Source organism: Homo sapiens, chromosome 5 (assembly GCF_000001405.40).
Source record: "Homo sapiens chromosome 5, GRCh38.p14 Primary Assembly".
Taxonomy (NCBI): Eukaryota; Metazoa; Chordata; class Mammalia; order Primates; family Hominidae; genus Homo; species Homo sapiens.
In genome coordinates this window covers 160,419,100-160,432,426 of record NC_000005.10, presented here as the reverse complement: position 1 = coordinate 160,432,426, position 13,327 = coordinate 160,419,100, and the positions used below count along the sequence as shown (strand labels likewise).

General features: G+C 40.3%; 1 protein-coding gene across 3 annotated transcripts, besides 5 other annotated features; it reads right to left on the bottom strand.

Moving 5' to 3' along the window:
* Window positions 3,683-10,572, bottom strand: PTTG1 (PTTG1 regulator of sister chromatid separation, securin). Of its 3 annotated transcripts, none has more exons than NM_001282383.1 (6): window positions 10,272-10,517; window positions 10,024-10,125; window positions 9,534-9,718; window positions 8,097-8,190; window positions 4,554-4,712; window positions 3,683-3,825 (listed from the first exon to the last, which is right to left on the bottom strand). In NM_001282383.1, exons 2-6 carry the CDS (start codon window positions 10,112-10,114, stop codon window positions 3,746-3,748), a joined length of 609 nt encoding a protein of 202 aa, NP_001269312.1. In that variant the 5' UTR covers window positions 10,115-10,125; window positions 10,272-10,517; the 3' UTR covers window positions 3,683-3,745. The 3 variants fall into 3 exon arrangements, with proteins under 3 accessions (NP_001269312.1, NP_001269311.1, NP_004210.1); NM_004219.4 differs by lacking the exon at window positions 10,272-10,517 and adding an exon at window positions 10,536-10,572 and having other exon boundaries at window positions 3,688-3,825; NM_001282382.1 differs by having other exon boundaries at window positions 10,024-10,517.
* Window positions 9,767-10,323: an enhancer, noted in NCBI's record as "H3K27ac hESC enhancer chr5:159849111-159849667 (GRCh37/hg19 assembly coordinates)". NCBI's record gives its function as "activates a minimal SCP1, AML or CMV promoter by ChIP-STARR-seq in naive H9 embryonic stem cells {active_cell/tissue: H9 hESC(naive)}" and the evidence as "EXISTENCE:reporter gene assay evidence [ECO:0000049][PMID:30033119]".
* Window positions 10,418-10,577: a silencer, noted in NCBI's record as "silent region_16585". NCBI's record gives its function as "represses an Ori minimal core promoter by ATAC-STARR-seq in GM12878 lymphoblastoid cells {active_cell/tissue: GM12878}" and the evidence as "EXISTENCE:reporter gene assay evidence [ECO:0000049][PMID:35858748]".
* Window positions 10,678-10,737: a silencer, noted in NCBI's record as "silent region_16584". NCBI's record gives its function as "represses an Ori minimal core promoter by ATAC-STARR-seq in GM12878 lymphoblastoid cells {active_cell/tissue: GM12878}" and the evidence as "EXISTENCE:reporter gene assay evidence [ECO:0000049][PMID:35858748]".
* Window positions 12,935-13,004: an enhancer, noted in NCBI's record as "active region_23562". NCBI's record gives its function as "activates an Ori minimal core promoter by ATAC-STARR-seq in GM12878 lymphoblastoid cells {active_cell/tissue: GM12878}" and the evidence as "EXISTENCE:reporter gene assay evidence [ECO:0000049][PMID:35858748]".
* Window positions 13,015-13,134: an enhancer, noted in NCBI's record as "active region_23561". NCBI's record gives its function as "activates an Ori minimal core promoter by ATAC-STARR-seq in GM12878 lymphoblastoid cells {active_cell/tissue: GM12878}" and the evidence as "EXISTENCE:reporter gene assay evidence [ECO:0000049][PMID:35858748]".

The following is a 13,327-nucleotide window of genomic DNA, read 5'->3' as shown; positions in this document are numbered from 1 at the left end:
GCTGGGTCTCTAGAAACCTGGATCCCCAGGGACTGATGACATCTTTACTCATTTCAGCAAGTCCCTGAAGCACCTGCCACATGCCAGGCAGAGAATACACCAGTGCACAGGACACACCTCATCCTGCTCCCAGTAGAGCGGAGGAGAGGACCAGACACAGCCGAGCATGGTAAGTGCAAAGGCTTCTGGTAAGAAAAGCATCTCATTGGAGTACTAGAGATGGACAGGTTTGGCCAGGTGAATCAGGACAGGAAATTACACCCCCAAGGAGCCACCACAAGGCCGTGTGAGCCACACTGAGCAACTCAGACTTCATCCTGGTGGCAGAGGGACATCATTCCAAAGTAAATGAAGTGGGGAATGAGTGCTTGATGAGCATGGGTTTATTTTTGGGGGTGATGAAAGTGTTCTGAAATTAGACAGTGGTGATAGTTGCATATACTCTGAACTAAAAGCCACTGAATTGTACATTTTTAAATGAATTTTCTTATGTGAATGTTACCTCAAAAAAAAAAAAAAGGCCGGGCATGGTGGCTCACGCCTGTAATCCAAGCACTTTGGGAGGCCAAGGCCGGCAGATCACGAGGTCAGGAGATCGAGACCATCCTGGCGAACACGGTGAAACCCTGTCTCTACTAAAAATACAAAAAAAAAAAAAATTAGCTGGGCGTGGTGGTGGGCGCCTGTAGTCCCAGCTACTCGGGAGGCTGAGGCAGGAGAATGGCATGAACCCGGGAGGTGGAGTTTGCAGTGAGCCAAGATTGCACCACTGCACTCCAGCCTGGGCGACAGAGCAAGACTCCGTCTCAAAAAAGAAAAAAAATGAAAGGAATATCTAGAAGGAACTTTCAATTCCAATCAAGATGGAGTAACAGGGACCAGATTTACTCTCCTGCCTGAAACTAAAAAACAAGACAAAATATATGAAATGAGGGCTGCCCAAAGAGTGAACATCAGGCGACAGAGAACAGCGATGCCTGAGGAATGTGAAATAAGTGAGGTGAGGCCGATGACTATCCTTACTGGCTACTTTTGAGTTTCCAGGCCTCAGAGTGGGGAAGAAAGGGAGGCAGGCAGAGCCCAGTGAATTTCCTGAGTTGAAGAGACAGAGCAGAGTCAGGCCAAGGCAGGCCAAGTTTGCAGAGCAGAGCACTGGAGAGGAGAGAGCTGCACAGAGAGAACCCTGGAAATTTGCAGAGGGTCTCCCTGTAGTATTCAGAAGAGCACTGATCCATATAGCTGAAAAGATCAGAGGGAAGAATTCCTGAAGCCCACACAGGGCTGGGAATAGTGTCTGCTCCCACCAGCTAGACAGGAAAACCTCATAATTCAGGGGGCAGCAGAGTCCTAAGCATCTCACACTTCAGTAGTAGGGGGAAATGAGCCCTGGGCTAAATGCTGCTCTGGTGATGCCTAACATTAAAGGCAAGTCTCAAATGAATCAAATTGCTTCTAGGTACCTTACCCATACTCTAGAACAAAGTTTAAGAATATTAATAGAAATGTAAAAATACCCAGCATGAAAAAAGGTAAAATCCATGGCTGGCATGGAAAGTAGAAAAATACAACTTGTAATAAGAAAGAAGAAATGGTAGCAAGATAATGGCATTCCTGACTGTTAGCTCCTACTATAAGAAGGTACAGTATCCTGAGAGGCAGGCTCAGAGGTAGTGTAGAGAAATGCAGAAGGTTTACAGAGTTGTAAAGGTATGAATAAAGTCTGTCTTATTTCAAAAAGTGTCAGAACAAAATAGCAACAACCCCCACAAGATGCAAATTATCTGTATTAATGGAGGAGCATCTGCTTAAAGTTCTCAGTCTCAGCACACATTATGCACATTGCAATCTGATTAACAGCAGATGAAAAGATCAGATCCCTCTATACTCAGTTCTGACCCAGAGGACGGCAATTAACTGGTAAGGGACTGACTAGTCCCCTTGCTCCCAGCCCTTGGTTCCCTCTACCACAAAAGACAATTTTCCAAAGCTTCAGTTTGTGTTGCAGAGTATGAAAGCCATTCAGAACTACACTTTGCTTTTTTTGTTGTTTTTGTGAGACAGCATCTCACTCTACCACCCAGGCTACTCTACCACCCACTTTACCACCCAGTGGCATGACTATAGCCACTCAAGTTGTAAGCTTGAACTCCTGGGCTCAAGCAATCCTCCTGCCTCAACCTCCTGAAACTAGGACTACAGGCATGCGCCACCACACCCGGCTAATTATTTTTAATTTTTGAGAGACAAGGGTCTCACTACATGGCCCAGGTTGAACCCAAGCTCCTGGGATCAAGCAGTCCTCCCACCTCAAACTCTCAAGTGCTGGGATTACTGGTGTGAGCCACTGTGTCCAACCTATACTTTGGTTTTCTTAGCAGCCCTATTTTACCTGAGGATGCTAAACCTATTACTCTCCCCTAAAGCCAAGTGCCCTAGTAGTCTTATGGTATTATCTTCTCCTAGAAGTCTGCCTTTCCACTAATTCCAGAAAGTCACACTGATTCAGTTGTATTTAGAAGGTAAAAAGTTTTAAAGTCAGGATAAGCGGTTGTAGGTGTTCTTAGTATTTCATGCCTAATATCCTTCAGCTTCCTCCAATGACAATGGCAAAGTGTTCACATTCTAACTTGACCATAGAAGCTACTGATATATCAAGGGAAAGACTTCTTATATAACTTAGCATCAAGCAAGGGTCAAATTCAGGTTACTACATGGCCCAAGCGAGTAAAGTGAGTTAAGTAGGCTAGGTCTCAGAAGAGACATGAAAGGTAAAAGGATCACTTCAGTTCTCACTGAGGCCATTTAAGGCAGGGTCTGTGGGATAGAAAGCCTATACTCCACCTAAAAGGCAGCAGCCTGCAATCTACCTCCAGCCCCAGCAAGTGTTGGAAACAGGGTCTACTATGGACACATCTCTTTTCAAGAGAATCTCCAAAGCCAGATTGGTGAAACACTGGAATTTTAAATAGTGGAAATGATTAAGGTTTTTAAAATATCCACCCCCTCCCTCAAAAAGAAAACCTATGAGCAACCATTTGCCATCTCTATTTTGATTCCAACCTCAGAACTGAGATCAAAATACCAGCTCTAATAATTTTCTAGCTCTTCACATCTTTGACAAATCAATGAACTTCTGCGCTTCATTGTCTTACCTGGGAAAGTGTCAAACATTAAACATAATAATGCTTCTCAAATACTCATGTCCAACACAAGGTAAACAACTAAATACAGTTTCCTATAGGTGGAGTGTAGACCTTACTATCAGTAAATTATCTCCAGTGATCTTTAAGGAATCTAATTGAAGATCCCAAGGAGGCTGAATTCTCAGATTTAGAGCCTTTCAATACTGAGTATTAAAGTCATTAGAAACTAAGTAGAACCGGCAATAAAGAATGCCCAGCAATAGATACTTAATGAGTTGGAAGTAGCTCTTCTAATTAAGAGATCTAATAACTGTCACTAGTTAATGGCCACAAAAAGTCAATAAAGTACACATTGAGGGGTATACTTTTCAGGAAAAAACAGTGGCAGCTTCTAAAATAAGCTGTTAAACCAAAAAGATTTAAGTTTTTAGACATCAGACAAATCTCTATTGTCACATTATAGACTCTTTGTTAAACACCTCAGCTAGCTTTCATGTTATTTTAAGTAACCTCCATGGAAAAGCAACCACAATACTAGGAAGAATCTGTTAAAGAATGCTTTATTAATACAAATACACACAAACTCTGAAGCACTAAGAAATTTAAATATCTATGTCACAGCAAACAGGTGGCAATTCAACATCCAGGGTCGACAGAATGCTTGAAGGAGACTGCAACAGATCTAGAAAACAGGAATCTCTTATTAAAATTTCTGCAAATCCTTGAGTCATTGTCCATATCAACATAGACATTAGCTGTCAATCAAAAATTCATGTTTTTCCCTTTGTCAAATCAATCACCTGCATCCCCTCCTGACACATTTTTTGGAATGTGTCTGTGGCCCCAGAATTGACTTTCATTAGGAAGTAAGTTTTAGAAGTATCTGAATCTCTATTGTTCTTAGAGACCAAAGTAAGAGTTAACAGTCTCACTAATGTAACTTATTAGGACAAATTATCCCACATCAGAACAAACAGAAAACATAATGTTGGCTTTGACTACCAGTTCAAACGAAGACCTCAGACCTTCTGCAGTAAGAAGTTATTGTCAGTCTATGCTACAGCACAGGTGTTTTGATCTTATATTAGCTTTGGATATAACATGGAATCATCATTCCAAGCAAGTTTATTATATATGCTTCAACTTATAGCCTAAGAAGATGTAAGTGAGAATTAATCTTTTGGCTGTAGTAAGACTATCCAGTTTCCAGAATAACAATTTTACTGGGGCATTTGGGACTGAAAAGCAATATTAATCGAGAATAGTTTATTTTTCTGAAAACTAATCCTTGTCATTTGAAGGACAGAAATTACTCACAGGCTCACCTCCCGCACAACTCTTCCCATGGTAATGGAAGTGTTATGAAACAAATTGTTTGCAGCCCTTCCAGAAGGGCACTTGCTCACTTACTGGATTCCCATGGTGGAGAGGGCATCTTCACAGGTGAAGGGGGGCCCAGCTGAAACAGCTTTTCAAGCTCTCTCTCCTCGTCAAGGATCATGAGAGGCACTCCACTCAAGGGGAGGTGCGCAATCTGGTGCTCTTCAGGCAGGTCAAAACTCTCAAAGTCTGTTACAGAGAGAAAGCGTTTTTGTCAGGGCAGCAGTTCTTAGTGTGGGCTGTAGATCCCTTGTGGTCTGAGACCCTTTGAGGGGGTCCATGAGGTCAAAACTATTTTCAAGACAATATTCACACCTTTTTCCACTGGGTTGACATTTGTAATGATGGTACCAAGGCAGCGGTGGAGAAAGCTGCTGGTGCCTCAACACAAATCAAGGCAGTGACAGTAAACCATATTAGCAGTCTCTCTGTTCTGCATCCTTCTTCGCTTGTAGTTTAAAAATGCCAGTTTCACTTACTGTCACTTCACCATATGCAGTAGAAAGTATTAATTTTATTAGCTCTCCATCCTTGAGATGTCTTTTTAATGTTCTGTGTGATAAAATGAGAAGTATGCCATAAAGCACTTCCACTGTACACCAAAATACGATTAAAAGGATTTGTGCAACTATATGAGTTGCAAGCTAAAACTAGAGAACATTTTCCTGGAATACTGTTTTTACTTGAATTAACAACTGCAAGAAATCCCATGGTCACTCAGACCTGGGTGCTTGTCACACTTTTTCTTAAAGGAATGAAAGAAGTCTATCACCTCAAGGAAAACTGACAGCCTTTGTTGCCAATGGCAGAATATAAAACGTTAAAATTTTGTCAAAAATTAAAAAATGAATATTTTTTTTTTGAGACAGAGTCTCACTCTTTCACCTAGGCTGCAGTGCAGTGGCACAATCTCCGTTCACTGCAACCTCTGCCTCCTGGGTTCAAGCGATTCTCCTGCCTCAGTCTCCCAAGCAGCTGGGATTACAGGTGCGCCCACCACACCCGGATAATTTTTGTATTTTTAGTACAGACGGGGTTTCACCATGTTGGCCAGGCTGGTCTTGAACTCGTGACCTCAGGTGATCCGCCCGCCTTGCCTCCCAAAGTGCTGGGATTACAGGCGTGAGCCACTGCATCTGGCCAAAAAAAGGAATTTTGGAAAACTTATCTGCAGTCATTAGCTTGACAGGTGCTTAGACTTTTCTGATGAGATCAGTTGTGGTATTAATGTGCTTTTGATATTGTATAATAAAGCATCTCAACATGTGGGTATCTACATATCTCAGTGAACCAGTATTTCTGAATGGTCAATGCAAGATAGATGCAAGAATATAAGATACATTCCAAGTGCAAAATAGACCAATGGATTTTACTGTCAAGATACAAAATGCTCATTGATACGGTTTCAGATTCCACATTGCAATTTTATATTCAGAAACAGCCACTTGTGGGTTTTAGTGTAGTGGCAAAAAAACCTATCCACACTTATCTGAAAAGACTATTAAAAACGTATCTGTGTGAAGCCAGGTTTTCTTCGTATATTTTAACAGATGTAAGAGTGAATATAGAATTTGATAAGAATCCAGTTGTCTTGTATTAAGCCAAATAAAGCAAATTTTCAAAAATATAAACCATGCCATTCTTCTCCAAACTTTTCCAGAACAAAAAATATTTTATGTTAAAAAAAAATTTACATTAATGTAATGTGATTACTTAGTGAATAAATATCTTAAGTTTCTCAGTCTTAATTTCTAATACAGAAAAGAGCAGATCACACAAGCAAAAGTGGTCTTCAATAATTTCTAAGAGTGTAAAAGGGTCTTTAAAACAAAACAAAAAAAAATGGAGAACCATTGTGTTAGGTAACATTCATTCTTAAAATCCAAGTACCTTACTTCTTAGCAATTATTTTTAAAAAGTGATTTTTCTGTACAGTAACAAAAGTAGGATTTAACACTGAATTTTCTTCAAGGAGCTGTTTTCTCAAAAGATTAGAAAATCATGGTTTTCCTTATCTTTGTCCGTAGGTGTGAAAGTTCTCTAAAGCCTAAGTACTCAAGAATTAGTCTGCTCTTTTACAAGCCTGGTAAAACCCAGAAGTCAAAAAGGAATTGAATGATATGTGACTATTTAACTTAAAACCACTGAATTGTAAAGGAAACCATAGACAGAAGACTCCAGAGGAAAGAAGTTTGCAATATAAGGGGAGCTAATTTTATCTACAAAGAGCTCTTTAATCAAAGAAAAACACAAACCGGAAGTTAATAAAAAAAGAAAAACTGTAAGTGGCCAATAATCAAATATGTTCACCATACACACAACAAATTTAAAACAATGAAATATTTCTTTTCTGATAAAGATTAGAGTTTTAAAACATTGATAGTGAACCTGGAGGAAGCAGACATCTTCATCCACTGTAGACGGATTTAACAATTTACACTATTTTGAAGGGCCACTTAGCAATATCTCTTTCCTGTAACACAGGATATTGTGGTCTTCATTCTTCATCAATATGCATAAATCTACCTCATTTTCCTCAATGGCTGAATGGTAATTATTAGCACGGATGCACCACATTTTATAATTTTAAAACTTAATCACACAAGCCCTTGAACTCAGCAATCCTTCTCAAAGTTTCCCTCCAGATGTACTCACAAACTTACAACAAGATCATTTCAAGAATACTAATCATAGAAATGTTTGTAGTTTCTAAAAGCCAGAACAATCTGAATGCAAATTAGTAAAATAACTACATGACCTCTTTGGCTAAATAAAAGGGTAAAAGATCCAGCTCAGAAATCCGTAAGGCCCTCCCTGATCTGATCCCACACCTCACCTGTATCCTCCTTTACCCTGCCTGTATTTTTCCTAGAACCACTTTAGTCTCTTTTCCTACCTCACGATCTTTGCACCACTTTGACCTACAATGCTGTTTTTTCTGGCTCACTCACAGTGAGATGACTTGTCCAGCATCTGACTTTCCCTTCAAATTATGGGCTCCCATAGGCAGGGCCCATCTTGTTAAACAGTGTGTCCAGGACCTAAGGATGCCTGACACACAGTAGCTTCTCCTGAAATGGTTGAGTAAATTAAAGCTTGAAAAGCTGTTTCCAAAACAGAAAATACTTCAGATACATGTAGCAGGTTGAAGAAATTTGAAAAACATGTCTTCACTGTCTTATGTAGATTTTTCAAACCAAAGAAATAATCCTACCAAATTACTCTCAGGCATTGCTCAACTTGACATAAAGCTCACTTCTAAAAGCCTTGTGAGAAAGACTGTCCACAATGGGACTTATTCAATGTTCATGAATACATCTTACCTCCTCTAGGTGATAAGCTTTTACAGACAGGAACAATGTCTTCTACATCTTTGTTCCTATTCCCCTCCTGACCTAAGATGATACCTTGCAAATAATTCCATCAACAAGTACACTTGTCCAAAGCAACCCAGATTCAGACAGTCTCATCATAGTTTTTGGTCATATATTATATTCATAACAAGTTACAGCTGAGCTGAATACTAAGAAACTAAAGGCCAAAAGCACTTTTCGCAATTGCAAAAGATACTACCTAGAGGATTGAAGGGAAAGAATTTTTCTATTTCTGGATAGGCATCATCTGAGGCAGGAACAGAGCTTTTTGCTTTAACAGTCTTCTCAGTCATCTAGAACAGCCAAAGAAAATATGGGTTAGTGACAGTGGAAGTCTTATTAGCTGATTAGTTTTTAAATTTGTCAATTTCATGCTGCCTTCTAAGAAGCCATAATCCTTAGTTTTCATAATTGCACCTAAATATACTTCAAATAATATGATTCAAATGTAATTCGAGTAGCATGACTCAAAAGTTAAAATCTGAAATTTAAGTACCAGCACCTGTCAGCATAAGTGATCAAGAATGCAGTTAATTCAGAGCTAATCAATGCAATTATTCAACCTAACAGAGGAGAAAATGGGCATGAATCACCCAGGATAGTAGCTAATCATCAAAGCCATTTTTGGCTTATAGGAGTGTGATTTTTTCCACAAGTGTTACCTTAAATTATTTGCTTGGTTAATATTAAAAACAAGTTTGTGTTCCTCAAATACACACACTGAGTAAGAGGCAGCAAGACACTGTCAAGGACTTTAGAATAAACACCATGGGCAATCTTCTAGTCTGGAGTTGACAGGTCTACTACAGTCTACTATAGAAGGGTGCTACAATGGAAGCCGGCATGTTCCTGCTTTATCTCACCTCACATATGCATGCCTAGAATTCCCTATGGGGTTCTCACACTTCGGTTCTGTGTCTCATTGTTTTTGCCATGTCTTTGCAATTCCTGTATTTAATATTTTTCTTTAAGTTAATTCACTTTTTAAAGAAGACATCTTTGTCCTAAGTTGCACTATATGTAATTCACTAGTTGTTTCCTAATGCAAATTAAACAAAACAGTTATTCAAATAAAGTGTTAATCCACATGCTAATGTCATCTTTCACAGCAAAGTCCTCTCATCTGGGATACACAGACCTGTAGCTTGTGACTCACACTCACACGAAGATCAACATGCTAGCAAATTGTCACCTAACAAGCTGCTGCTTGCCCTGGAAGGCTAAGAGAATGGCAGCACCTGTGCTATTAAAGCAGCAACAGAACCTCTTAAGGCACCCTCTCTCTCAGTATGTATCTGTAAGTGGATACCACCAACCAGTTTCTCTTAAGGCACCCTCTCTCTCAGTATGTATCTGTAAGTAGACACCACCAACCAGTTTCACGACACTAGTGAAGGACAGGTGAGGCAAAAATATGCATGAGGCAAAAATATGCATTAGCTGCATCTGAGATTTCCAATCTCAAGGTACCAAGAAGTCCACAAGGACAATCTGAGTCTCCTCCACTACTCTGCTTGCTAACCTCTATTTCCCTTCTACTCAGAGGGAAGAAAGCTACGTAGGATGATGCCAATAGTCATTTTAAGAGTCAAAAGTGCTTAAGTGTTTAAACAGTGTCTTTATAGCCAACACTTACCTTTTTGGCAGAAAAGCTTGGCTGTTTTTGTTTGAGGGGTCCCTTGGTCTTTACAGACTTTTCTGTAGCTCTGTTGACAGTTCCCAAAGCCTTTCTAGTAGCTTTAGGTAAGGCTGGTGGGGCATCGAACGTTTTGCCAAAACGTGGTGTTGAAACTTGAGATCTCCCATCTAAGGCTTTGATTGCTGAAGAAAAAGTCTTACCATAAGAATATTCCAGCAGCAAAATACCTGTACAACTTAAATACTGTGTATATAAACTTGACCTCTCACCCCCAAACCCACCCCCCACTTTTGGTAGTGGCATGGCTATGATAGGCCTAATAGCAGAGATTCAGTAACTTCCTTAAATCATCTCATTAAGATATTAAAAATGAAAAAGGACCAATAACAAACGACTCCAATTGCCCAAAAAGTACACTAAATGTCTCGTCCAGCTCCAGGCCACGTCCACAATACCAGTGTATCCGACTGCAGCCTTGTATACTTACAAGGTCCAGACCCCAGCTTCAGCCCATCCTTAGCAACCACACGGGTGCCTGGTTCTCCATTTTCCTTATCAACATAGATCAGAGTAGCCATTCTGGATTATTCTAAGAATGAGAAATACATATTAGATATTGGGGAAGGTGGGAGAAGCAAAGGTATAGCAACATACCAAACTTTCTATCCTAGGAGTGTCCACACAAAAAACAAGAGCTAAACAGCGGAACAGTCACGGGCGTGAGCCAACAAGTACTTAATCCAGCTCTCAAATCTTCCAGCCTGAGTCAGAGGCTCTAAGGTCCCGAGCAGCGCGCGGTTTGGGGCTGGCACTCATCAGACAGTTGCCGTTGGTCCAGTTAGCAGTCCGAGACCACGCTCAAACGGGCTCGGAGCCATCTAAGCCCCGGGCAGTCCCCCAACCCCAGCCCCAGCTTCAGCCCCAGCCGCAGCCGCAGCCCGCCTCCTTCCCCGCCGGAGCCGGCTCAACTAACCACCCGCGACCCTCCCATTCACTCACGCAGGTCTTAACAGCCGCATTCATCTGAGGCCGCGGTGAACGGACGCGGCGCACTCCTGGTTTAAACCACAACTCGCGGCCCAATTGGCTCTTCCGCCCAGGAGGCGGGGCCGTGGGCGTGGTCACCAAGTAGAACCAATGGAAAGGACCTAAGCAGCCAGGGCTCCGCCCCAAAAGCTCTTTCTTGCAAACTTTGTGGCACGTTTTCTGGGAAGAAAAAACTAGGATCGTGTAATATTAAAAAATAAATCGAGAGGCTTTTTTTTTTTGCTCTCCATATTATTAAGCTGCATGGACTGAGGTACTGACTCAATAACAATGGTTTATTGCTTTAAGATATTTTTATTTAGATGACCCTGTAAAAAGGATGGAAAATAAATAGAAATATTGAAGAAATAGGGGAAACAACCAATGTTGGGTCTAAAGAATACTAGCAGAGAAGAATTTAAAATTAAGAAGAAATGTAAGTACAGGTAGATCAAACAGCAGCGTTTGAGTCATTCTCTTATGCTTATGATTAAGAACGAACTGATCGTTCCCTAATCTTAGGACTATCCTCAATACTTCAGGCTAAGACACTGTTTCTATTATACCATCACGAATCTGTCTTAGGAACAAAATTATGATTCTAATGAATACATAATTTAGTCTTCCCTTAAAATTCTATCCTTTGATAGTGATTTATTTTAAACCTCTAACATCTCAATAATATATTAACCAAAGTTGCCTGGAAGGGCTTGGCCAGGGAGCAAGAGAATATCAGAGAGATAATAAAGATATAAAAAAGGAATTCCAATTTCCCAGATATGAAAAGAAATTTTGCTTGAAAAAGTTGACGACCTTTTCCTGTTTCTATAGTAAAATGGAATACATTGAACAACTACAAGATGAAGATATAAATTAAAACATAAGGCTGACCTGTGTCATTCAAACTCCGCTTCCCACAGTTCACCATATATGCATTTTAAGCTGCAGATCAGCTGAGAGAGAGGAGTTGATTCCATATTACTCTTTCACGAAAGGCTTGACACTATACCTGACATAGACATGGTTCTCAATATATGCCAGTTCATCATCTCTTTTTCCCTGGCATTTCAGGACCAATATTGATTGAATGATTCATTCATTCACAAATATTTATTGAATACCTATTAAATGCTGGACATTATACTAGGTTATAAGAAAAGAGCCTAACTTAAGGTGAAGAAAAGAGGAAAGACAGAAAAATATGCATACCTTTATTGTCCCTTCACTGTTCTTTTTCCTTTATCCCCATCCTTTATTTCCTCCTGTATCTCCTAAATTTTACATCATCATATTATATTATCAGCACTCAAAGTGTTAATTTTTAAGACTAAATCTGCACAACACCTATAGCTTCCAAGTGGGGATTCTCTATCTACAGAGGTTTTGAGGTGCAAGGTTTGTCTTAGGATGTCTTCTTTTTTTCACCAACAGAAAGCATTGTTTCTCCTAAGGTCATGCAGCAGCTGTAAACCATAACCACCCTCTCTGAATAACCACTGTTTTCTTACTAATGATGCCCTCAGACCAGCTTTGCTATTCCTATTACTGGAAATACTCAATTGCTAAACCACCCTCACTCATAACAGCACTTAGTCCCTAATCAGTTTCTCCCAATCCTTCTTTACAAACAGCAACCCATCCAGAACCAATCCCGGCTTTCCTAGACCTTCCTCAGAACCCTCCAGAGGGACCTCAAGTCTTAGAAAAGATTCAACTGTCTTGTCCTGCGCTTTCTGATTCCTCTTCGAGATGCGCTCTCCTGGTGGTTTTGGCTAATTAGGCCTTAACACTCCTAAGCAAATTTCAGGAATATTTTTAAGTGGAAAAAAACAAAGCCTGAGTGATTCATAGACTCTATTCACTTTCACGCTAGTCTCTGACACTGTTTCTTCATCTACTGCCCTGTAAAAGCAAAATTAATATTTATGTTCCTAAACTCCAGGTATTGCAAATTCTTAATACGAAAAAAATAGATTCTATTATGTTGGGCTATTTTATTGAGGCAGGAATGGTAGCTACTTTTACTTTTACATTCAAAAAGGATACACGTTATGGGGGGGAGGGGGAGAACAACCAGAATAGAAAGCACAAAGAAAAAAAAAAATCACAAGAAATTCTACCACGAAAATTAGTTTATTTTCCAGTGTTTTATTTCACATGTATACTTTTAAAGAAGGGATGGGATAGCATAGATACTGTTTCTCCAAAATGGAAATTGTCGTATTTTTTTCTAATGATAACATGCCTTATGTTCTCACAGCACCTGGTATTCTTTTCATAGCAACTTTTCACAGCTGCTAAATCTGAATAGTTGTTTCGGTGTCTTTCGCACTCTGATGTAAATCTGAGGGAAGACACTGTTCACCAAATCCCCAGCATGTTACACAGCCTGGCTACTAATTAGTGCCAAGTTTAACTGCTTTTTTTTTTTTTTTAAGCTGATACGTCACCAACTTCCCCATTCATTTCATAGTCCCCTGGTGAGGCTTAAGCTCTTGTCTGTTCTGGTCTTTTTTTTTTTTTTTTAACTTCCTAAAATTCTCCGATTCTAAAAGAAAGCTCCTAAATAGAAGCCAAAAAGTAGCCGCCCAACTTGAAACTCCCCACAAGCCGGGTAAATAGCGCGATACGCAGCAGCTAGAGTTCTCGCGTTTCCCACGGCGCAGGAGCACTGGAGGGCCCCCCTCCGCCCCCGGCCCCGCCAGGAAATTAGTGCGCATGTGCCGGTCATCCGGAAGTTACCGCAGTGGCCGCCGGAATTAGGC